Raw genomic sequence first — 25,725 nt, forward strand, 5'->3', positions numbered from 1 at the left:
GGCGTGGTTAAAGTGATAATTTTGAATAAGTCTTCAAACCCAACATGTCATGAGCCTTCCTTGAACTGCATCTTCATTTATAGATTAAACGTTTTGATAAATTCACTATGGGCTCTTAACTGTATTATTAAAATTGTGGTGACAACCAGCTGTTATTTTATGGTAGAACATAAGTATCTCTTTTCATTGCCATTCTTCACTAAAAGGATACTTTGTCCCCCTTTTTCTTTTTCCATAGGTTATTGGGGTACAGGTGGTGTTTGGTTATATGAGTAAGTTCTTTAGTGGTGATTTGTGAGATTTTGGTCCACCCATCACCTGAGCAGTATACACTGCACCCTATTTGCAGTATTTTATTCCTTGCCCCCTCCAACCCTTCCCTCCAAATCCCCAAACTCCTTTGTATCATTTTATGCCTTTGCATCCTCATAGCTTAGCTCCCATATAACAGTAGGAACATATGATGTTTGTTTTTCCATTCCTGAGTTACTTCACTTAGAATAATAGTCTCCAATCTCATCCAGGTCACTGCGAATGCCGTTAATTCTCTTCTTTTTATAGCTGAGTAGTAATCCCTAGTATATATATACTACAGATTCTTTATCCACTCATTGATTGATGGGCATTTGGGTTGGTTCCACGATTTTGCAATTGTGAATTGTGCCACTATAAACATGCGTGTGCAAGTATCTTTTTTGTATAATGACTTATTTTCCTCTGAGTAGATACCCAGTAGTGGGATTGCTGGATCAAATGGTAGTTCTACTTTTGGTTCTTTAAGGAATCTCCACGCTCTTTTCCATAGCGGTTGTACTAGTTTACATTCCCATCAGCAATGTAGAAGTGTTCCCTGATCACCACATCCACGTCAACATCTACTGTTTTTTGATTTTTTGATTATGGCCGTTTTTACAGGAGTAAGGTGGTATGGCATTGCGGTTTTGATTTGCATTGCCCTGATCATTAGTGATGTTGAGCATTTTTTTTTGAATGTTTCTTGGCCATTTGTATATCTTCTTTTGAGAATTGTCTATTCATGTCCTTAGCCCACTTTCTGAAGGGATTTTTTAAAATTGCTGATTTGTTTGAGTTAATTGTAGATTTTGGATATTAGTCTTTTGTCAGATGTATAGATTGTGAGGATTTTCTCCCATTCTGTGGGTTGTCTGTTTACTCTGCTGACTGTTCTTTTTGCGGTGCAAAAGCTCTTTAGTTTAATTAGGTCCCGGCTATTTATCTTTGTTTTTATTGAATTTGCTTTTGGGTTCTTGGTCATGAAATCCTTGCCTAAGCCAATGTCTAGAAGGGTTTTTCCAGTGTTATCCTCTAGAATTTTTAGAGTTTCAGGTCTGAAAGTCCTTAATCCATCTAGAGTTGATTTTTGTATAAGGTGAGAAATGAGAATCCAGTTTCATTCTCCTACATTCGGCTAGCCAATTATCCCAGCACCATTTGTTCAAAAGGGTGTTCTTTCCCCACTTTATGTTTTCATTTGCTTTGTTGAAGATCAGTTGACTGTAAGTATTTGGGTTTATTTCTGGGTTATCTATTCTGTTCCATTGGTCTATGTGCCTATTTTTATACCAGTACCATGCTGTTTTGGTGACTGTGGCCTTATAATACAGTTTGAAATCTGGTAGTGTGATGCCTCCAGATTTGTTCTTTTTGCTTAGTCTTGCTTTGGCTATGCAGGCTTTTTTTGGGTTCCGTATGAGTTTTAGAATTGTGTCTTCAAGTTCTGTGAAGAATGGTGGTATTTTAATGGGGATTGCATTGAATTTGTAGATTGCTTTTGGCAGTCATTTTCACAATATTGAATCTACCCATGCATGAGCATGGGATGTGTTTCCATTTGTGTCGTCTATGATTTCTTTCAGCAGTGTTTTGTAGTTTTCCTTGTACAGATTCTTTCACCTCCTTGGTTAGGTATATTCCTAAGCATTTTATTTCATCTTTTGCAGCTATCATAAAAGAGGTTGAGTTCTTGATTTGATTCTCAGCTTGGTCACTGTTGGTGTATAGAAGAGCTACTGATTTGTGTACATTAATCTTGTATCCGAAACTTTGCTGAATTCTTTTATCAGTTCTAGGAGCTTTCTGGAGGAGTCTTTAGGGTTTTTGAGGTAAACAATCATATTGTCAGCAAACAGCGACAATTTCACTTCCTCTTCGTCAATTTGGATGCCCTTTATTTCTTTCTCTTGTCTGTTTGCTCTAGCTAGGATTTCCACTACTATGTTGAAGAGGAGTGGTGAGAATGGCCATCCTTGTCTTGTTTCAGTTCTCAGAGGGAATCCTTTCAACTTTTCCCCATTCAGTATTATGTTGCCTGTGGGTTTGTCATATATGGCTTTTATTATATTGAGGTATGTCCCTTGAATGATGATTTTGCTGAGAGTTTTTATCATAAAGGGATACTGGATTTTGTCAAATGCTTTTTCTGCATCTGTTGAGATGATCATATGATTTTTGTTTTTAATTCTGTTTATGTGGTGTATCACATTTATTGACTCGTGTATGTTAAACCATCCCTGCATCCCTGGTATGAAACCCACTTGATCATGGTGAATTATCTTTTTGATATGTTGTTGGATTCAGTTAGCTAGTATTTTGTTAAGGATTTTAGCATCTATGTTCGTCAGGGATATTGGTCTGTAGTTTTCTGGTTATGTCCTTTCCTGGTTTTGGTATTAAAGTAATGCTGACTTCATAGAATGAATTAGGGATGGCTCTTTCTTTCTCTATTTTGTGGAATAGTGTCAATAGGATTGCTACCAATTCTTCTTTGAATGTCTGGTAGAATTCTGCTGTGAATCTGTCTGGTCCTGGACTTGTTTCTGTTGGTAATTTTTAAATTACCATTTCAATCTCACTGCTTGTTATTGGTCTGTTCGGGGTATCTAATTCTTCTTGATTTAAGCTAGGAGGTTTGTATCTTTCCAGGAATTTATCCATCTCTTCTAAGTTTTCTACTTTATGTGCATAAAGGTGTTCATAGTAGGCTTGAATGATCTTTTGTATTTCTGCAGTGTCAGTTGTAATATCTCCCATTTCATTTCTTATTGAGGTTATTTGGATTTTTTCTCTTCTTTTGTTGGTTAATCTTGCTAATCGTCTATCAGCTTTATTTATCTTTTCAAGGAGCCAGCTTTTTGTTTCACTTATCTTTTGTATTTTTTTGTTGTTGTTTCAATTTCATTTAGTTCTGCTCTGATCTTGGTTATTTCCTTTCTTCTGCTGGGGTTGGGTTGGGTTTGTTCTTGTTTCTCTAGTTCCTTGAGATGTGACCTTAGAATGTCAGTTTGTGTTCTTTCAGTCTTTTTGATGTGGATGTTTAGGGATATGAACTTTCCTCTTAGCACCGCCTTTGCTGTATCCCAGAGGTTTTGATAGGTTGTGTCACTATTGTCGTTCCGTTCAAATAATTTTTTGATTTCCATCCGATTTCGTTTTTGACCCAATGATCATTCAGGAGTAGGTTATTTAATATCCATGTCTTTGCATGGTTTCAAATGTTCCTTTTGGAGTCTATTTCCAGTTTTACTCCACTCTGGTCTGACAGAGTGCTTGATATAATTTCAGTTTTCTTATATTTATGGAGGCTTGTTTATGACATATCATATGGTCTATCTTGGAGAAAGTTCCATGCACTGTTGAATAGAATATGTATTTTGTGGTTGTTGGATGGAATGTTCTGTGTATATCTGTTAAGTTCATTTGTTCCAAGGTATAGTTTAAATCCATTGCTTCTTTGTTGACTTTCCATCTTGATGATCTGTCTAGTGCTCTCAGTGGAGTATCGAAGTCCCCCAGTATTATTGTGTTGCTATCTATCTCATTTCTTAGGTCTATTAGTAGTTGTTTTATAAATTTGGGAGCTCCAGTGTTAGATGCATATATATTTTCCTGATGGACAAGGTCTTTTACCATTATATACTATCCCTCTTTGTCTTTTTTAACTGCTGTTGCTTTAAAGTTTGTTTTGTCTGATATAAAAATAGCTACCCCTACTCACTTTTGGTGTCCATTTGCATGAAATGTCTTTTTCCACCCCTTACTTTAAGTTTATGTGAGTCCTTATGTGTTAGGTGAGTCTCTTGAAGGCAACAGATAGTTGGTTGGTGAATTCTTATCCATTCTGCAGTTCTGTATCTTTTAAGTGGAGCATTGAGGCCATTTACATTCAATGTTAGTATTGAAATGTGAGGTACCATTGCATTCATCATGCTCTTTGTTGACTGTGTACCTTGGTTTTTTGTTTTTAAATTGCATTTTTATTTTATAGGTCCTGTGTTATGCTTTAAAGAGGTTTCTGTTTTGATGTGTTTCCAGGAATTGTTTCAAGATTTAGGGCTCCTTTTAGCAGTTCTTGTAGTGGTGGCTTGGTAGTGGCAAATTCTCTCATCATTTGTTTGTCTGAGAAAGACTGTATCTTTCCTTCATATGTGATGCTTAGTTTCACTGGATACAAAATTCTTGGCTGATAATTGTTTTGTTTGAGGAAGCTAAAGATAGGGCCCCAATCCCTTCTAGTTTGTAGGGTTTCTGCTGAGAGATATATCTGCTGTTAATCTGATAGGTTTTCCTGTATAGATTACCTGGTGCTTTTGTCTCACAGCTCTTAAGATTATTTCCTTTGTCTTAACTTTAGATAACCTGATGACAATGTGCCTAGGTGATGGTCTTTTTGCAATGAATTTCCCAGTTGTTCTTTGTGCTTCTTGTATTTGCATGTCTAGGTCTGTAGCAAGGCTGGGGAAGTTTTCCTCTATTATTCCCCCAAATATGTTTTCCAAACTTTTAGAATTCTCTTCTTCCTCAGGAACATCAATTATTCTTAGGTTTGGTCATTCAACATAATCTCAGACTTCTTGGAGGCTTTGTTAATATTTTCTTATTCTGTTTCCTTTGTCTTTGTTGGATTGGGTTAATTTGAAGACCTTGTCTTTGAACTCTGAATTTCTTTCTTCTACTGTTCAATTCTATTGCTGAGACTTTCCAGAGCATTTTACATTTCTATAAGTGTGTCCAGTGTTTCCTGCAGTTTTGATTGTTTTTTCTTTATGCTATCTATTTCCTTGATTATTTCTCCCTTCGCTTCTTCTATTGTTTTTTGGATTTCCTTGCACTGGGGTTTGGCTTTCTCTGGTGCCTCTGATTAGCTGAATAACTAGCCTTCTGAACTCTTTTTTCAGGTAAATCAGGGATTTCTTCTCAGTTTAGATCCATTGCTGGTGAGCTAGTATGATTTTTTTGGGGGTGTTAAAGAGCCTTGTTTTGTCATATTATCAGATTTGGTTTTCTGGTTCCTTCTCATTTGGGTAGCCTCTGTCAGAGGGAAGTTCTATGGCTGAAGGCTGTTGTTCGTATTCTTTTATCCCACGAGGTGTTCCCTTGATGTAGTACTCTCTCCCTTTTCCTATGGATGTGGCTTCTTGAGAGCCGAACTGTAGTAATGGTTATCTCTCTTCCAGGTCTAGCCACTCAGCAAGTCTACCAGGCTGTGAGCTGGTATTGCGGGTTGTTGGCACTGAGTTCTGTGGTGTGAACTGTCTGTGTGTCTCTCCGCCATGGACACCTGCACCTGTTATGGGGGAGGTGGTAGAGGGGTGAAACGGATCCCTGGTTCTTAGCTTTGGTGGTTTAATGCTCTATTTTTGTGCTGGTTGGCCTTCTGCCGGGAGGTGGCGCTTTACAGACAGCATCAGCTATGGTAGTGTGGAGAGGGACTGGCAGTGGGCGGGGTCCTAGAGCTCCCAAGAATATATGCCCTTTGTCTTCAGCTACTAGGGAGGGTAGGGAAGGACCATCAGGTGGGGGCAGGGCTAGGCCTGATCTGAGCTCAGACCCTCCTTGGATAGGTCTTGCTGTGGCTGCTGTGAGGGGATGGGAGTGAGGTTCCCAGGTCAATGGAATTGTGTACCTAGGAGGATTACGGCTCCCTCTGCGGAGTCATGCAGGTTGTCAGGGAAGTGGGAGAAAGCCAACAGTCACCAGCCTCACCCAGCTCCTGCGCAATCCAAAGGGGTGGTCTCACGCCCACTGTGTCCCCGCTAACAACTCTGAGTCTGTTTCCAGGCAGGGGGTAAGCAGGGCTGAGAACTTGCCGCAGTCTGCCCACCTCCCAGTGGCAAAAGAAAAGGGCTTTAGTTCTTCCCCAGCCTGTGGAGTCTGCACGCAGGATTCGCACCCTCCCCCGTGTTATGGCCAGGAGGCTTCTTGACCGGTTCAAATTGTTACAAAGTTCAGCTGGAGACTTCCTTCTTCCTGTGGTGTTTCCGCCGTGCCTCTGGCCACCCTCCTGAAGGATCCTTGTGATGCCAGGCAGGAGTGGCCTGCTTGGGGACCCAGCGAGCTCCCCAGGCCTTTCCAGCTGCTTCCTCTATCCCTGTGTTTTGCTTGTCTATCTAAATTGACTCAGCTCCAGATAAGGTCAGAATCTTCTCCTGCAAACTAGAACTTCAGTTTCCCCATAGGAGGTGTGCGTTCCAGGGCGGAGGATCTCCCTTTCCCACTTCCGCAGTTGGGGCACTCACATAATTTGGGGTGTCTCCTGGGTCCAGCAGGAGCAGTCCGCTTCCTTCAGAGGGTCTGTGGGTCCTCCTGGGATTCCTGGTTTATTCCTGCAGTTGTTCTGGAGCTGAAATTCACAATGTGAGCCTCTGCACGCTGTTCTGTGCGTCCGAGTCGAAGCTGCCATCTAGTTTTGCCTCCCATCCGTGATGATGATCTATGATCTCTACAAGGATACATTTGCTAGAAATATTTGTTCTCTCTGGCCGGGCGCGGTGGCTCACGCTTGTAATCCCAGCATTTTGGGAGGCCGAGGCAGGTGGATCACGAGGTCAGGAGATCGAGACCATCTTGGCTAACACGGTGAAACCCCGTCTCTACTAAAAAATATAAAAAATTAGCTGGGCGTGGTGGCGGGCGCCTGTAGTCCCAGCTACTCAGGAGGCTGAGGCAGGAGAATGGCGTGAACCCGGGAGGCGGAGTTTGCAGTGAGCCGAGATCGCGCCACTGCACTCCAGCCTGCGCAACAGAGCGAGACTCTGTCTCAAAAAAAAAAAAAAAAAAAAAGAAATATTTGTTCTCCCTACCCTAAAAGGGATATAATTGAAATACAAAAAAACAATATGGAGAGGTAATTTCTTTCTTTCTTTTTCTTTTTCTTTTTTTTTTCTTTTTGGAGACAGGGTCTTGTTCTGTTGCCCAGGCTGAATGCAGTGGGACAATCACAGCTCACTGCAGCCTTGACCTCCTGGGCTCAAATGATCCTCCCACCTTAGCTTCCTGAGTAGCTGGGACTACAGATACGCACCACCACACCAGCTAAGGTTTAAAATTGTTTTTAATAGTGAGAGAATTTCACAATTTTGCCAGGCTGGTCTCGAACTCCTGGGCTCAAGCAATCTGCCCACCTCGGCCTCCCAAAGTGCTGGGATTATAGGCATGAACCACTGCACCGGAACCTTGGAGAGGTAATTTTTAACAAGGCCATCTTTTCTCTAACAGAGGAGCACTAAGAAGTCAGATTTCATCCTGGCATGTGACTGTCACACAAGCAAATGACTGTGCTGATTAGAAAGCTTGTGTAGCTCAGAAATATCACATAATATGCAGTCTCCGTTGAGCAACATTGCAGCTTATGTTCATTAGGTAAAACCATAGTAATCTGAAAATATTTTAGGTATATCTGCCATTATTTTATGACTAAACAAGGAGATGATTTTAGTATTGATTACTTTCATGCACATATTTTAAAAACTCCTGATTTTTTATGTTGGAAACATTCCAGTTCTTTTTTTTTTTTTTTTTTTTTTTGAGACCGGAGTCTCGCTCTGTCGCCCAGGCTGGAGTGCAGTGGCGGGATCTCGGCTCACTGCAAGCTCCGCCTCCCGGGTTCACGCCATTCTCCTGCCTCAGCCTCCCCAGTTCTTTTCTTATCTAGCTATTTTGAACTATACATTTGATTGTATTCCAAAAATACGTACAACTATTATGTATCAATAAAATGTCCTAACTTTTTTGCATAGTGAAAGGTTTGTTCAGGTTGTAGTATGAGTTGCAGTCATCCTGTTTTTGGCATGGGAGGGAGATGTTTCTAAACTAGCCAGTTATAGGTGTCACCTACCAATGTTCTACAAAATGTGGACCAGGCAGAGAGAATTACAGATGCTGGGTGGAAACTTTGGTTCTGGGCCTGATTCTGCCCCTAACTTGGCATGAAGCCTCAGTTTCTTCTTACTACAGCAGGAAAAATAATACTTGCTTTATCTGTTTCATGTGTCTGCTATGATGATAACAAATATAATGTATATGAGACAATTTAAAAACTTAAAGCATTTTAAGTTCCTTGGTCTTTATGGGAGAGGGAGGACCATCATTTCTTTCTCTTTTTTCTTTTTCTTCTTCTCCTCCCCTTTCCTCCTCTTTTTTTCATTCCTTCTTTTTCTCCTTATCTTTCTCCTCCTCCCTCTCCTCCTTCTTCTTCCTCCTCCAACCTCCTCCTTCTCCTCGCTTCTTCCCTTCTCCTTTTACTTCCTTCTTTTCTCCTTCTCCTCCATTCTCTTTCTCCTCCTCCTTCATCCACTCCTTCTTCTTCTTCCTTTTGAGATGGAATCTTGCTCTGTCACCCAGGCTGGAGTGCAGTGGCATGATCTTGGCTCACTGCAGCCTCCACCTCCCAGATTCAAGTGATTCTCGTGCCTCAGCCTCCCTAGTAGCTGGGATTACAGGTGTATGCCACCACACCCAGCTAATTTTTTTTTTTTTTTTTTTTTTTTTGAGACACTATTTCACTCTTGTCACCCAGACTGGAGTGCAGTGGTGTGATCTTGGCTCACTGCAAACTCCACCTCCCAGATTCAAGCAATTCCCCTGCCTCAGCCTCCTGAGTAGCTGGGATTACAGGTGTGCACCACCATGTCTGGCTAATTTTGTATTTTTAGTAGAGATGGGGTTTCACCATGTTGGCCAGGCTGGTCTTGAACTCCTGACCTCAAGTGATCCACCTGCCTCGGCCTCCCAAAGTACTGGGATTACAGGTGTGAGTCACCGCACCCGGTCCTTTCCTTCTTCTTCCTCTTCTTCTTCTTCTTCCTTCTTTTCTCTGTCTCCTTCTCCTTTTTTTCCTCCTTGTCCTTCTTCTGTCTGATGCATAGTCAAGGGTTTGATAAGTGTCTGCTCTGTGCTGACAGTTTCAGGAGCAGTACAGAAACTCCTATTTTGTACTCCAAATAATCCACAAGAATTAATTGGATCACCTCGAAGGAGGAAAGAGAAGCTCAAAGAGATCAGGTAAGTTGCACAAGCTCTGAATCCCAGCACACCGTGAAAACGGGCTTCAAATCTGGTCTTTCTGATTCCAAAGTCTATAGTCTTACCTGTGATTCACTTTCCTGATTTGTTAAAAAAAAAAAAAAAAAAAAGGATGCTTCATTTGCTTAAGTAAAATTCCAGGGAATTTTCAGCAGAAGTTTTAAATGTTGGTAGAGAATTTTCTTGAGGCAAAACTGATAATCATAAAGCTTGTCTGGCTACCAAAATTGATCTGGTAGTCAAAACTTCTTGGTAAAGTTATCAGTATAGAGACCCAAGAGAAACAAATAAGAAGAATCTGCTACTAAATTTTGGCGGAGTTGAGAAATTTTTTAATTTGAGCTTTCACTCTAAGAGATAAGAGTCTGTGACCAATTGTATTGTGTGTTTTGCATTGCTATGAAGGAATGCCTGAGGCTGGGTAGTTTATAAAGAAAAGAGGTGTATTTGGCTCAGAGTTCTGCAGCCTATACAAGCAGGGCAGCAGCTTCTGCTTGGCTTCTGGGGAGGCTTCAGGAAGCTTTTGCTCATGGCAGAAGGCAAAGAGGGAGCAGGCATGTCACATGAGAGGGAGCAAGAGTGGGGGAGGAGGTGCCAGGCTCCTTTAAGCAACCAGCTCTTGCATGAACTAATAGAGTGAGAACTGAATCATTACCATGAGGAGGACACCAACTCATTCATGAGAGATCCGCCCCCATGACCCAAACACCTCCCACCAGGCCCCACCTCCAACACTGGGGATGACATGTCAACACAAGATTTGGACGGGACAAATATTCCAACTATTCACCCATGTTCCCTAACTTGAAGGGAGTTCACATTAGGACAAGTTCACTGAAATCTTTGTTTTGGAATGGGGATGGATAAGACATCATTTATTAAGTTATGGTTTTTAGTTTCTGGCTTTGGCTAACTCAAACAAAAAGGGAATATTTCAGACTGGTGCTTGGTAAATCATAGAATGACAAACAATTGGAAGACCAGGTTAAAATGAACTTGGAGGACATTAAGTGAATTAAGCCAGGCACAGAAAGACAAATACTGCAAATTCTCACTTATATGTGGAATCTAAAAAAAGTTGAGCTTATACAAACAGAGAGTAGAATGGTGGTCACCAGAGGCTGGGGAAGGAGGAGTTGAGGAGATATCGGTCAAAGCATACAAAATTTCAGTTAGGCAGGAGGAATAAATTCAAGAGATCTATTGTACAACATGGTGACTGTAGTTAATAACATTGTGACTGTATTGAATTCTTGAAAGTTGCTAAGAGAGTAGATTTTAAGTGTTCTCACTTAAAAAAATAAGTATGTGAGATAATGCGTATGTTAGTTAGCTCTATTTAGCCATTTCACAATGTGTATGTAGTCCAAAATCATGTTGTACATGATTCATAAATACATTTTTATTTGTCAATTAAAAATACCCTGGAATTTGGGCAACAAAAGCTATCTGCCCAGGTGGGAACAAATCGCCTCTGAGCATCTTTCCTTCATTGCATCTCTAATCAAGATAGAAAGTCCCTGGAGAGAGGGTCTGATTGGACAAGCTTGAGTCCGATCCCTATACTTTGGCTATGAGAGGAATATTCTTGCTGAAGTCGTCTGTGATAGACCCTGTGGATGCATTTGGCTTGGAAATACGAAAGCGCCTTGATTTAGAATCCCCTCAAGTCTGTCTGTTCACAGTGGGATAATTTTTATTCTCTTCCTCTCCAGAAGGAATCAAGGGGTGTCATAAAGGAGGTATGTCTGCTAAGCAGAACTACCTCCCCTCCCCAAAGAAAGTCTGTTACCATGTATACTTTTAAACATTTTATTTTAAAATAAAATTAGACTCACAAGAAGTTACAAAAACAGTACAGAATTGCCATGTAACTTTTACCCAGCTCCCCACAATGATACCATCTTATATAACTCTAGTACATTATTAAAATATGGACATTGACACCGGTAAAATACTATTAACAGAACCACATACTTTATTCTGCTTTTGCTTTTTATTTTATTTTATTATTTTATTATTTTTTGAGACAGAATCTCGCTCTGTCACCCAAGCTGGAGTGCAGTGGTGCCATTGCAACCTCTACCTCCTGGGTTCAAGCAATTCTCCTATCTCAGCCTCCCATGTAGCTGGGATTATAGGTGCCCACCACCATGCCTGGCTGATTTCTGTATTTTTAGTAGAGATGGGGTGTCACCATGTTGGCCAGGCTGGTCTCGAACGCCTGACCTCAAGTGATCTGCCCGCCTCTGCCTCCCAAAGTGCTAGGATTACAGGTGTGAGACACCACGCCCAGCCTGTTTGGCATTTTTTTAATACGTGCTCTATAATATTGATTTTTGTGTAAACATGTGTTTGTATATATCTATAACGAGAACTCAAGTCATACTGTAATCCTATTTTGTAAACTGACTTTTTTCCTTTATCAGTATATCAAGATTATTTTCCCACATCATTTGACATTTTTTCTACAGTGTAATTTAATGGCTACATTGTTTTCTATCCTATGAATATATCAAACCTATTTCTTAAAAACCCTACTCAGGGATTTTAAAAAATAAAAACGATGTTTTAATATTATAAAGATTCAGTGAGGTATATTCTTATACGTACACATTTCTAAGGTTTGAGTTCTTACAAGATGCTGAACTAGCTAAGACTACTGGTTCTCATCTGTCACATAGGGAAAAATTATAGAAGGAAAACATCAAGATTTGGAAAAATCTGTGAGAATTGTTTTGCATTAGTGTGTAGGTGTGTGTGTTGGGGTGGTGGCTGCAGCTTGGGGCAGAGGCCTCAGGTGTGGCTGTGGAGTGATCAGATAGAGTTTTTGGAGTTCGGCTTTTGCCCCAGGACACTTGGTGCCTGCCCCCAGAGCTGCAGCCCAGAAGGCCGTTCTCAGAGGTGAAGTCCAGGCAGTGAGGAGCTGTCTGCCAGTAGGCAGTTGAAGAAAAAAAATGAGCTAGAGGAAAAAAACAAAAAAACAAAATCTCCTTCTAATGCTGCCAGGCTGCCGGGAGCTGGAAATGAAGCACTGACAGGAGTGGGTATTTCATGGTGAAGGGAATAATCAACTGGTTTTTTTGGTACCCAAGACTTTCCACCTTCACACACACACATGAGATGCTTTGAAATAAAGATAGTCACTTGACTTAGTAAAGTTTGTTGACATAAAAATATGAGAAATACCAAAGAATACAAAAAGGAAAACTTCGTTAATATTATTCAGACTTAAAATTCCAGATTGTATCAACATTAAGGGGGTTGATGAAAACATGGGAGAAAGCCAAGGGACGTGAGATCGGGCTCAATTCTTGACTTGCTGGGGGAAGGTATCAACACAGAACTTTTAAGAATTAGAAGGCATTAAAAAGAAATAGAAATCCTGAATCAAATTGAAACAGTAAAATAAAATAGTCCAAAGATGTGTAAATATATCACTATCACAATAACTATAAATAGGTTAAATTTGCCAGTTGAAAGAAAGGAACTATTAAATGAGATTTTAAAAATTTGGATATATGCTTTTCATGTGAACATACCTAAAGCATATACACAAAACCAGAAAATAAAAAGATGGAAATATCCACAGAGTGACAAAGGAAAGCTGGTGCATTTGTATTAGTATCAGATAAAGCTCACATTTAGATAAAAAACATTATAGTAATAGAGAAAGTCACAAGGTTAAAGTTTCAATTCACCAAGAAATATCCATTCTAAACATGTATACATACCCAATTAAGCTGCCTCAAAATATATATGACAAAAATTGGGAGAACTATAAAGTCAGATATAAGGATTGAAAAGAAAGAAATGAAACTAATTATTTTCAGATGATATACACGTTTACATGAAAAAACTCCAAAGAATCTTCAGGCAAATTATTAGAAATTGTAGGAGAGCTCCGCAAGAGGGCTGGATATAAAATTAATATACAAAAGTCAATGTCATTTCACTATACCAGAAAAAAGACAATAACATTAGAAAATAAATCTAACATAAGATGTAGAAAAACTTCTTAGAGGAAAAATTTTCTTGGGAAATATTAAAGAAGATCTAAATAAGTAGAATTACATAATATTCATGCATAAGAAGGCAACATTTTGAAGACGTCTTGTTATACATAGGCCTAGGAATAATATAGTTTTAAGCTATATTATTTTGAACTGTAGATGAAGAAAAGCTCTTTTTTTCCTTGAGTATTTTAAGATTTTGAATAAAGTCATATTGCTCTAGGAATATTTTATACTTCTGCCAGCAGTGTTTGAGAATGCCTACTTCCTACATTATCACCACCATAAATGTTTAAAACCTGATAGCACACAGTTTAAAAAATTTGTAATTCTCCAATTAACAGTGACCTTTAAAAATTATGTTTACTGATCTCTATTATTTTGTCCTTTGTAAATCTTTTATTAGTTTTTATGTTCACATGTTCCGTTTTAAAATAGACTTTTAAGAGCTCTTTGTATTAAGAATATTAAGGCTTTGTCCATATAATTAGTATTTTTCAGAATACCCTTTCTAGGTACAGTTTTTCAGTTCCAGTGCACAGAATGGAAACTTGCTACCTGCTACACCACATTTTCACTAGTATGTGATGTATTCATCACAAACAACAGTATTGGCCAACATTTTCCCTCACTGTGAAGTGCACATTTGACATCCTTTAGAAAAATTACTGACGGTTTTGAGACGATTGTTCTGTGCTTTCTTTCAGTCAGCATAATTTTCCCGAAAGCAGAGATGACTCTTCCAGACTTGCTACCAATGCTTGAACAAACTGTGTAAGCTTAGTCCAAAAAAAATATTTGATTAATAGATTTTATTTTGGTAGATTCTAAGGTTCCAAGCAGTCAGAGAAATAATCGCAGAGCCTCAAATATCTCCAAAATCTGATACCAATCCTTTTGATTGTGAATTATATTCTGTAGCTACCAAAGAAGGTAAGTTTTTATTTTTTCTACTCTATTAACTTTCCCTTGGACAACTGAATATTAAGATGACTATGTAAGGAGGTTATCAGACCAAGGCCTCACACATCAGGATAAAAGCACATGCCATAGAAAGAACATTTGTGTCTCAAAAGGTGATACCAAGACAAGGCTGTGGGATATATATGGGCACAATGGTTGATACCTTCAAAGACTTCATACATGGTGTGGAGGTTTTTGGAGATTTTAATTTATAATGACAATCTTTCCAGTTAGGAGAATTTTTGGACTGTAAAGTTAGCCAAACAACTTTTCAATGATAATAAATGTCTATATCTTACACAGGGGGAATACAGTTTTTGTTTGTTTTAGTTTTTTCTCTGTCTATTCATATAGGGGCATCATATGTCTTTATCATTAAAAACTGATTTAGATAGGCAGTTGTAGAGAAATTTAATGTGTGGGAATTTAAAGTTTTAAAAAGATGTAGCAAAATATAGATACATTTAAGACCCACTGCACCAATGAAAAAGGGAAATTAATTAAACTAGATAACTTTTATGGGTACTAACCATTAAAATTAAAATTTTAGTCATTGTAAATTACATTACATTATAATAGTTTTCAATCTATTGTTAAGTTAAATATTTTGGGTAACAATTGTATTTCACAGTTGTTCACACTTTGCATAATTTTCTAAGGAAAATGAGTCCCTTAGGGAGAAAATTGTTCTTAAATTTTATTGTTGGATAATGTTGCTGTACTAACATGGTTTACTGAAGTGGATCTACCATGGGTGTTTAGGTTTTTGTTCTTTACAAAATGTATTGGGTGAAATTTTCCATATCACTGGTGAACTTTTCATGCTAATTTTCCAGTCCCTTAGTTTAAATATTATGCATTTTTTCCTGCAAATCTATCTTGAATCTGAAAAGGCCCCAGAAGGAATTAGCGTGAGTCCAGAGTAGATGGACTGCAAATGTTACACATATTTCAATATGTATCCAGCTTTCAAAAATAGCTTATTGAAATCAAGGTTGAACCACATGAAATTTTGGGTTTTTTTGGATGTAAAAAATGGTTATATATTGGCATTTTCATATCATCCAATCTAATATCTTCCTCTAGTGAGGTTCTGGCAAAAAAAAAGTATGATGACCAGAGTTGTTCACTCTTTTAAGCTTTATGTTTCAAAATATTTTTAAAATTTAAAACCATCTAAGTGCATCCCAAAAAACATTGGAAAATTTTGTAGGCTAGTTTTGTTTAACGATTTTTCTTCTATAGATTTATTTTTATGCTATGCCTTACTCTCCAATTAGATTTTAGCCATCCAAGAAAGGTACCTTGTACTTCTAAGCAATTCTCCCATCACCTGGACGTTAACTGCAGCCCACACTGCAGTGTCTTGACTGCAGTAGGCACTCAGTAAATATTTATTGATGGTCCTGATTATGGGATGATGAAATATGCTAAAGGTAACTTAAACTTTTGTCAATAAAACCGAGTTTCAGGTTAGTTTGACCTTTTCCGTATCTCTAAATATTTTCTTTCATGTCATTTTTGTGAAATAGCTCACGAAAGTACTTATTGATTCTGAAATCCTTTTCCCCTCTGGTATTCCTGAGCTATCCTCACTCACACACAGCACACCAGTGCTATTGTTTGCTGTTTTGTTAAAATCATTCTCATTAATATTCCTCATTCAATAAAAATAGTTGATTCCCACTTATGCACCAAACTCTATTCTAAAGACTGCTGTTTATTTTATGGAGTCAATATCATCATTTTGTTTTCCATTCCACATAATAGTTGGATGCCAATATGAAGTGTATATTTATAAATAATATGTGCTTTTATTTATTTGTTTATTTTTATTTTACTTTAAGTTCTGGGATTAATATGTGCTTTTAACATTATTGTTTAAAAATAACAGGAGATATCATATCTTAGCACCTTCTATATTCTGGGCACTGTTCTAAATGTATCAAAGTTATCATCTCATTTAATCCCTCCACACACCTGAGGGAAGAGAGTATTATTCCTTATTTACAGATAAGGAAGCTGAGGCTTGGAAGATTCATATATCTAAGATCACAAAGCTAGTAAAGCAGCCAAGTTTGAGTCTAAATCCAGGTTTTAAATATCATATTGCATGTGGGCATAGATGAGCAAGAACAGGTTTTCCTGAAGATGGCCAGTCTAAGGCTTAGAAGAAGGAAGCTCGGGGAGCCTAAACCAAGATATGCTAAGGCAAGTTTTTTTGCTCGTTTGTTTTTGAGATGGAGTTTCGATCTTGTTGCCCAGGCTGGAGTGCAGTAGTGTGATCTCGGCTCACCGCAACCTCCGCCTCCTGGGTTCAAGTGATTCTCCTGCCTCAGCCTCCTGAGTAGCTGGGATTACAGTCATGTGCCACCATGCCCAGCTAATTTTGTATTTTTAGTAGAGATGGTGTTTCACTATGTTAGCCAGGCTGGTGTCAAACTCCTGACCTCAGGTGATCCGCCCACCTCAGCCTCCCAGAGTGCTGGGATTACAGGCGTGAGCCACTGTGCCCGGCCTGCTAAGGCAAGTATTGACCATTAGAGGAGATGACTAGTCCCAGTGGCAGGCCTTTCCTACTGGGAGTCAGCCAAGAGCTCCCCACTCTTCTGGTTCCATTGTTCCTCCTGCAAAGTTCCATTCATAAAGTGGTTTCCCATTTGATTGTCCAATGATGCAAATCTCCAGTCCTTTTTAGCACTGAGTTTCTCATAGCCTTTTACCATTGAGTTTCTCATGGCTAATGAATGCTAATGAATTGGCATTCCGATTTATCTATAGGATTCCATGAGTCAGCCTCATGAAAGAAGGTTCCACTCCCTCACTGTGGGTACCGTCTGGGAATTAGACCCTTAATAGGAGTAATTCAGCAGGCAATGTCTTCTCTAATAACACTCCAGTCTCACTGAGAGCTTCTATTCAAAACAACAATCTAAAGGTCTACAGTGTGACTTTCAACTAAACTGAAAAAAGAATAGAAAATGAATGTATGTGATGTACACATTCATTCAAATGTTTATCCCTAAAATTCATAGCAGATTATGACTGATCATTAAAGCCAAATTAAGGGGGCAAAATGTATAAAAACAAAAGGAACTCTTAGGCATAATAGTCTTTAAAGTAAAACATTACTACTGACAGTTGCTTGTGTGAAAGATATCTTTATTTAATATGGTAAAAAGAACACAGGAATTGCTAGCACTTACCGTATGTCCATTTTATGTCCACCTTAAAATAGATATGTCTGTATAGTCATCAGATTAGCACTTTAGAATTCAATAATTTCAAAGAAATCAGAATGGACATTCATTACATGTGCTTATCTGGCAGGAGAATTGAACAAATCCTTTCTATAGGAAAATGTAAAATTCCTAATAACTCCACAGGATTGTAAGACTTGGGCTGGTAACTTCAGTGAATACAGCAGAGTTTGGGCGATGGGAAAAGGTACAGTTGTGTTCCTAAACTCTTAACTTTGTGAGGCAGTGACTTTATTTCTTCTTCATGATTTTGCAGTAAGTTCAGTACAGTGGTTAGTTTCAGTATAGTTCAGTGGCTAAGCTTTTGAGAGGGACAGTTCTATGTTCTAACTCAACTTCTGCCACTTGTTAGAAAGTGACTCTTGTCAAACTATTGGCCCTTTCAAACCTCAGTTTCTTCATCTGCAAAACTTTATTCATGGGGTTGTTGTGAGGGTTAAATGAAAAATATGTAAAACTCATCAAAATTTTAAGCACAAAATACCAAGTCTCAGCAGAACACATACAGTAGGAGTCCAGCCATTAAAATTTGAAACAGGCAGAGGCAAAAATATTTTGTTTAGAAGTACTTGCATTTTCTAGCTCTTTGGCTGAGTGGACAACATTTTGGTGTTCTTTTTCTTATTGTTATTTTTTAAAGCATACGTATATGTTATGTAGACTCTTTTGTATGTATATTTAACTCACAATAAATATTTATAAATAGAAAGAAAGATATCACATATATGTGCACATACACTGGTAAGCCCCAATACACTGCCTCATTTCTAAATGACTCTAGCATTTGTAGGACAGTGCTTTTAAACCTTTCGCACTCACGAGATACTCTGGGGAGCTTTAAAATATATGCTGATGCTTGGGCTCCACTTCCACATATTCTGATTTAATTGATTAGGGGTTCGGCTCAGGCATCAGTATTTGTAAATAAAAGCTTCCCAGCTGATTCTAATGTGAAGTTAAAATTGACGGATACTGATACCGATAAAAGAGTGAGTGCAATAGACACAAAACAAAATAGGAGATGTGTCTCAACAATGGTAAGATTGTTTTAAAAATTATAGTACAATTAAAAAAATAATGTAATGCAATTATTTAGAAAATTCTTACAATTTTGTATTTTGAAAGCACCATGTGGATATCATGGGGAAAACCAGAACTTTGTTGGATTTCCTTAACAAAGATTTTGCAGCTTGGTATCATTTCCATTTTGTAGTATTTTGATATCCAGGAGATGAAAGTGGGAAGTGGACAATTGCCTATAAGGCCATGCTTTGCACCAGGGTGTCCAGATGAGAGGCAAGTGGAGGGTAAAGTTTAGCCTGCATTCTGTTCCCTAAGGTACATCTCCTGGTGAGGGGTGGCTTCTAATCAGGGGAAGAAGTCCTATGTCTTGTTTCCTAATGCACGCACAGGTTCCACAAGCCCTCACTTTGTTCTCAAGAGCATAGCATTTATTTTGGTGCTTAAGACTGCTGAATGTCACAAAATAATTTTTCCCAGCACAAACAAATATTCAAAATAGTTATGTGCACAGCCTGTTTGAGCACCAATAAGTTTTGGCTCTGTGGCCTGTTTGGGCACTGACATGGTTTGGCTCTGTGTCCCTACCCAAATCTTATCTTGAATTGTGATCCCCACATGTCCAGGGAGCGACCTGATGGGAAGTGATTGGATCATGGGTGCAGTTTCTCCCATGCTGTTCTCATGACAGAGAGTAAGTTCTCAGGAGAGCTGATGGTTTAAAAGTCTTTGGCAGTTTCCCTTTCTCTCCCTCTCTCTCCTGCTGCTATGTAAGACGTGCCTTGTTTCCCCTTTGCCTTCCGCCATGATTGTTTTAAGTTTCCTGAGGCCTTCCCAGCCATGTGGAAATATGAGTCAATTAAACCTCTTTTCTTTATAAATTACCAAGTCTCAGGCACCTAAACCAATTAGAAGGTGTGCCATTGGCACACAGCAGGGTCCTGGTGTCTCCCCCACCATCCAGCCACCACTCTGCCAGGTGTGAATGTATTAACTATTGCTGGAGTGAGGTGAAAGGAGGCAGTCCTGCAGAAGGGCCACTGCCACTGGGATGGCACAGGAGGGCGCTCGAGAGACTCACCTTAGTGACTCTATCAACTGGTGAAAATATTTAGATATTTTCACAATCGATATGGCCTTGCTTGTATATACAGGGTGATTATAAACTCTCTTGCCACTTATCACAGAAGTCGAAGTTTCATCATTTCTTTTCCTGTATTTGGTTTATGTGCAACAATATAGGTTTATTTTCCAGTTCTGGAAAATAATCATGGTTAATACTGACTGAGAACTGATCATTTCCTTTCCTCTTTATACCAACCAATGGGGCAGGTACCATTATTAAAGGGGGAGGAAATAGAGGTTAAATAACATGCCCCCAATCAGTAGTGGGGAAATGAAAGAATCAGGATTCAAAGCCAGGTTTGTCTGGGTCTTGGGACCAGCTCAGCGTCTGTGCTGTACTGCCCGGGACTCCTGCTGCCAATTCTTTCTACCTCATTATCCCTCAACCCTGCACCAGCAAATCCACAGGGCGTGAGATGAAGAGAAGAGAGGACCACAGGCGAGAAAGTGGCAGCAGCAAGAGAAGATGTACCATGAGGAAGTTCTGGGAGGTTCTGCCCGTCTTTCTGAGAACAGGGGAGAGACAGAGCTGAGTTACAACTGCACTGCTTCTTAGCTTCTTAGTTTCTCTTCAGAATTAGTGGCAAAGAAGAGTTTTCGAAGTCTTTAGCATGTATTAAACGAAGAATTTTGTTTATAAGAAAAAATTGTGGATCGTTCCCATGTTTGTCTGGAAAACTCTTGTTAAACTTTTGTGCAGCTAGTAAATTAAGTCACTGTTTATTCTGTGTAGTGGAAAGCATGCTTAAACTCTAACTCAGGAGACCTGATTCCAGGAATAGTTAAGCCTGAGTTCATTATAAACCACTTAAGTTATCTGTGTCATTATTCTAGTCTGTTAAATGGAGGGCTTGAGCTGGTTTCTTGTAAGGTGGGATTTGGCTAAGTGCTCTTGGATACAGTTGCTCACCTCTTTGAGCCTCAGCTTTCTTTTTGGTGATTATTTAATCGCATGTGATAACAAATACAGGGTGTTTTGTGTAATGCCTGGAATGGCACTGAGATTGTCTCCACTACAGTAAGGAGGTGGTTTAGAAATTAGCTAATTTATTAATTAATGGCCTATAGAGCTTCATGTAGGTTGGTACTTCAAAGTCCCATTCATATGGATCATGTTCATATTTATATATTCATCACTTTTATTTCAAAATCTCTTTTTCTGCTGAGATCAACTGAGATTTCTAGAAAGCAGTCCTATTGTCAGCACTTTGCCCAGTACATTTAGTAAGAACTTGACTAGCATTGACTCAAACAGTTCTCTTAGAAGGGCTGGCACCTTTTGTTTCAATTTTTTTAAACATTAACTGCCCATAATAATTGAAGCATGAATGCACTTTCTTTGGATTATGAAACAAATCAATCACAGACATGGGAATTAGGTGTGTTCTCTTGCTTTGTTCAATATCATGCATTTTTTTTGTCTGAGCTTTCACTGTGTCCCCAGAACTGTGCTTGGTGCTAACAGTGGCCCCACAGAGTACGGCTTTATATTCAAGGAGATGACAATCTTGTTGGAGGAAAAACCTTATACATAGAACAATTAAGGAACAATGCAAGGGAAACACACATTGCAAGTTTTGATTGTACCTATTTTATGGCTATGGTATAAAACAAAGCACCTGTTGTTCCTGAGAGTGAAGGGATAAGACAATAACTACAAAAAGGTGAAATGAGTTAATTCAAAAGGGAACATTGAGCATGTCATTTTCCTATTGAAGTGCTATTATTTGGTATCGGCTTCCTTTGGTGGTGTTGGTTTTTGATTCCCTCTGCCCCGGACTCTGTTGTTTAAAGATGTTCTTTCTATGAGGGATCTTGGATGCATTTTAGCAGTGTTTCCACTGCCCTTTGTTTTATATTCTTTGATGCCATCCCAGGTACATCACATTCTTGCTAGATGAGTAAAGGTAAGCATACTTAGAAGTCAAAAAGAAAAGGCTGAAGTGGTGACTTAGACTTGAGAAATTATAGATTCCATGGAGAAAACTGTGTTTAAATCACAGGACAGGCTGAAAACTCACATTACCACCTGATGGAAGTGAACTCTACTTTTATAGGTTACTAGGAGAAGGTCAGCCTTCTGTAAAAGCAGATAAACAAGGATACCATTACCAGAGTTTCAAGTAATTTAAATTAAGAACTGAACATTGATACTGATATGATTTCTAGTTTATTATCTGTGACAGAACCCAGTAGCTTATTGAAAAACTATCATGGAAGAAATAACTAAGAAATAACCATTTAAAATATATCAGGATATAATGAGGATGAAGCTTTAGATAACACAAAAAGGCAATTTCTCTTTAGGCTGAAAAATACCAGACACAGATATATCGACAGAGTGACCTGCCAGAATCCCTACTTTCCAGCCCATCTGATAAAGGTCAACGATTGAACACCCAAACACGTTGATACACACAGCACCTGCCTGATGAAAACCGTTAACAGTGTTTTTCTCAGCCCAGAGTGCACTGTTTTCTTAAAGTTTTGAAAACAGTAATCTAAATTTCCCTATTCCATGAGTAAAGTTCTACTTTTTTCTTTTTCACACTAAACAGCATTCGATGTTTTAGCTGAAAGTCAATTAAGAAAAATGTATTGTGTCTGTGTTTTTCTTGCTTTCTTTTAAGCACCTCTAAAAGAACTTGTTCTTCTTCCTGAATTGAGAACGAGGTAGGAATGAAAGACTGAAACGGTAACTCTCATCATAATTTTATTATTATGACAAGTTGGGTTTATGAAGTATTTTTCCAATTACTGCCTCCAATTGTTAAATAGGTAGATAACATGCCAGCTTTAACTGCCAAAAACTTGTAGTCCTTAAAATATTTTTTGTAGTATTACTATTAGTATCATGAACAGAAATAGCAGTGATAAAAATCAAATCAAGTTTTGTGAACACCAAAATTCCATTTGCCTGTGTGTGGAGGGTGGTTTAGGATTGGTAGAATTAATATTCTTTGCAAACGGCTGCACCTAGCATGGTCGCCTTGAAGCCCTGGGAGTTCTCTAATTTTCCTGGCTCGAGAGACTTCCATTAAACAAGAAAATGAGGTGGGAAAGGTCAGAGGATTCACAGGGTAACAGGAACTGGACCTGAACCTGAGCTTCATGCAGTCCGCAGATTTTTTAAGTGGTTTGTTTTTTAGAAGTGTTTGTCACGACCTCTAAATCATTGTTAATTTCATCGTTAAACTGGCCTCAGAGAGATTTTGTTTTAAAGAGACAATGCAGTTAGAGGATCGTGATCTCTGAACTCAGAAGCCCAGAACTCCAAAGCTGGAAGCCACCAGATCCTAGCAAGTGAAGCTCTGTCAATCTGGAGCCGCAGATTTTGACCACGTGTGCACAGCCTCCCATCTGGGCAAGCCCTTTTCTCTCCACCACTCCACTCCACAGCTTCTGTTTCTTTTCTTTTCTTTTTTTTTCGCTGAATTCATCATCCCTCCCTTTCCCATGCCGAGACTTAAAAGGTTTCAAATACTTCAAAAATCAATGATTTCTAAATCACCTCAGATGACTTACATACAATGTTTTATTACATTTTCCCAGAGCAGAATGGCATATTAAGAAATGGTTTTATTTTCAACTATATTTTCTCTTAGGAATATAGAGACATTATCTCAAATTATTACCTCGAAGAGACAGAGACAAGAATTTTGCACCATTCTAGTTCTCAAATCATTTTAGGTATTTTATTTCATTTTGCCTAAATCTCTTAGACGGTTATTTCCTCGTATCACTTAAAAATTACATTTTACTTGGGCAGGGCCTAAAGAATTACATTGAAAAACTAAGAAATTATTGGGAAAAAATTCCATTAGCACAACTATCATGATCAGAAGAAATTGGCTAATTTCAGTGTCTTTTCTTTGGGCTCTTCATAGAAAATTGTTGAAATGTGTCTTTCATAAGTAACTGGCATTCTGAAATTGATTTAAAGCTGTAGAGGGGAAGAAAAGCTACATTGGAAAAATTAAATCTTAGGTTTGGAGATATTTTAAAAAACTCAACAAGTTCCATGCCCAGAGGAGTGCAGACACTGACCCTCTTTTTCAGCTATTAGAGGTGAGGAAAAAAAGTTGTGTGGTTGGTGTGGAGAGAGAGAGACACACGCACTTCCTTTAGCCATCATCCTACTAACACCTTCACAGTACATTTTCTTGCTAATAATCCCAACCATTTCTACAGGGAAAAGTGCATGTTCCTGTTCTCTGGTAGAAGGGCCACCCAAGGAATTCAGGTTCCTGGTGAGTAAGAATGACAGAAGTACCCACAGCTCCTGGGCCATTGGTCTCCTCTATCCAGCCTCCACTGACCTTGCTGGGTCCACTGCAGTTTTCTTCTTGATTTAACTCTATGAGCTCTCTGTTCCTTCAAAGTACTGGAGCTTCTGGCCTTAGCACATCTGTTTCTGCAGCCAGAGCACCTTCACTGAGAAGCAGACCTCTACTTGGCTGGGTTCTTACTCACCCTATTGGTGCCTCTTCCCCATCCCCCTCCTCCTCCTCCTCCTCCTCCTCCTCCTCCTCCTCCTCCTCCTCCAGGGAACATATAGTTGGCAGCAAGGGTTGCAGAACGAATGAAGGCATGCATGAATGCACATGTTGGAGGACGAAGGTTCTGTTTTTACTCTCAGTGCACCAAAACCCAGCAGAGTTAAATAGTGGAAGGTTCTTAAGTGCTCAAGTGAGTAGATGGAGGTCATAAGGCAAGCAGAGTGGGAAGGGCTAGAAGGAGAAGAAAGGAGAAAGGGAAGGCAGGAGAGGAGAGAGGTGGGGAAAATGGAAGGGTAGTTGAATGTCATAGCAAATTAGAGTTAGAAGAGGAGAATTAGTAGAAAACAGAGCTAGAGTCAAAAACAGAGTGAGACAGACAGAAATTCATAGATTTGCTGTCTGGCCCAGATCTCATTGGATAACTAGAGCCTCCCTTCTTCCTTTGGGTTGAATGGTCTTTACTCATTCTTTATGTAGACCATCCTTTACTTCCACATGGAGTTTGTATGTTCCCATAGACACCAATACTTTACATATCAGAACACTTGTCATTTTATTAAAAATTGTTTTTTATTAGTTTCTTTTCCCACTAGACAGTCAATGTCATGGATGCAGGACTATAGGGTCTTATCTTTTTCATCACAGTAGCCCTCGAACCTAGCACAGTGAAAGTTGCCCATAATACATTACTAAATATTTGTTGAAAGCCTAAAGCACTGGGCAAATCATTTTGACTTTCCAGACTTCAGGATCCCCATTTGTGAGGGAGCTGGTCTATTTGATACCTAAGACTCCCCTCCAGCACAGGTCTTCTATAATTTTGTATCTACATGGCTTCCTGCCTGATGCCAGGAACTTAAGATTTAACTCAAGAAGACAGGGATGTTGCTTGCAAAGACCCTGAAGATCTTGTCATCCAAACTGTGACTGCCTGGAGACTGTTTATACAGGATCTTGAACTGGGCTAGGAGAGTGCAATGGATGGTAGTCCCAGTCCTTGTTTGCAGGGAGAGGAAGACAGCGACAAAGCATTTCTATGGAAAGAAGGAGTTGCTCATAAGTCTACTATGGACATCAAAATATGCTGATGAGCCACAGCAAGTTCATTACAAAGGGATTTCAGATAGAAGCCTCCTCCTTCAGAGTGAGGAGGAAGAATCATCCAGGAAAGAGAGAAATTATGTGTATTTCATATATTGCTGTATGTACATATTAATCAGCCAGCAAATATTAAGTGCATTCATGGGCAAAATGCCAAAGAGATGAAGAGAAAAATCAGACTCCAAGGATCATATAATCTGATTGTGGAAGAAAGGCATATTCATCATGAAAATGTAGCAAAGATGTTAAGTGAGTGTCTTAGTCTATTCTGTGCTGCTATAAAAAATACCTGAGACTGGGTAATTTACAAAACAATTTATTTCTCGTGGTTCTGGTGACTAGGAAGTCCAAGATCAAGGCACCAGCAGATTGGTTGTCGGATGAAAGTTCAGTTTCTGCTTCATGCATGGTGCCTCCAGAGGA

At 39.0% G+C, this 25,725-nt stretch overlaps 1 protein-coding gene across 4 annotated transcripts in view, besides 1 other annotated feature; it reads left to right on the forward strand.

Moving 5' to 3' along the window:
* Positions 6,114-6,680: an enhancer, noted in NCBI's record as "H3K27ac-H3K4me1 hESC enhancer chr6:151969745-151970311 (GRCh37/hg19 assembly coordinates)". NCBI's record gives its function as "activates a minimal SCP1, AML or CMV promoter by ChIP-STARR-seq in primed H9 embryonic stem cells {active_cell/tissue: H9 hESC(primed)}" and the evidence as "EXISTENCE:reporter gene assay evidence [ECO:0000049][PMID:30033119]".
* The window catches only part of ESR1 (estrogen receptor 1), a 472,948-nt gene continuing 461,398 nt past the window's right edge, over positions 14,176-25,725 (forward strand). For 2 of the 4 annotated variants that reach the window (NM_001385568.1, XM_017010380.2), the window contains exon 1: positions 14,176-14,267. The gene's annotated coding sequence lies outside the window, so the exon portion shown is untranslated. Of the gene's footprint in view, positions 23,953-25,725 lie in introns of all 4 variants that reach the window. The other 2 variants (XM_017010377.2, XM_047418290.1) reach the window with 2 other exon arrangements.

Source organism: Homo sapiens, chromosome 6 (assembly GCF_000001405.40).
Source record: "Homo sapiens chromosome 6, GRCh38.p14 Primary Assembly".
Classification (NCBI taxonomy): domain Eukaryota; kingdom Metazoa; phylum Chordata; class Mammalia; order Primates; family Hominidae; genus Homo; species Homo sapiens.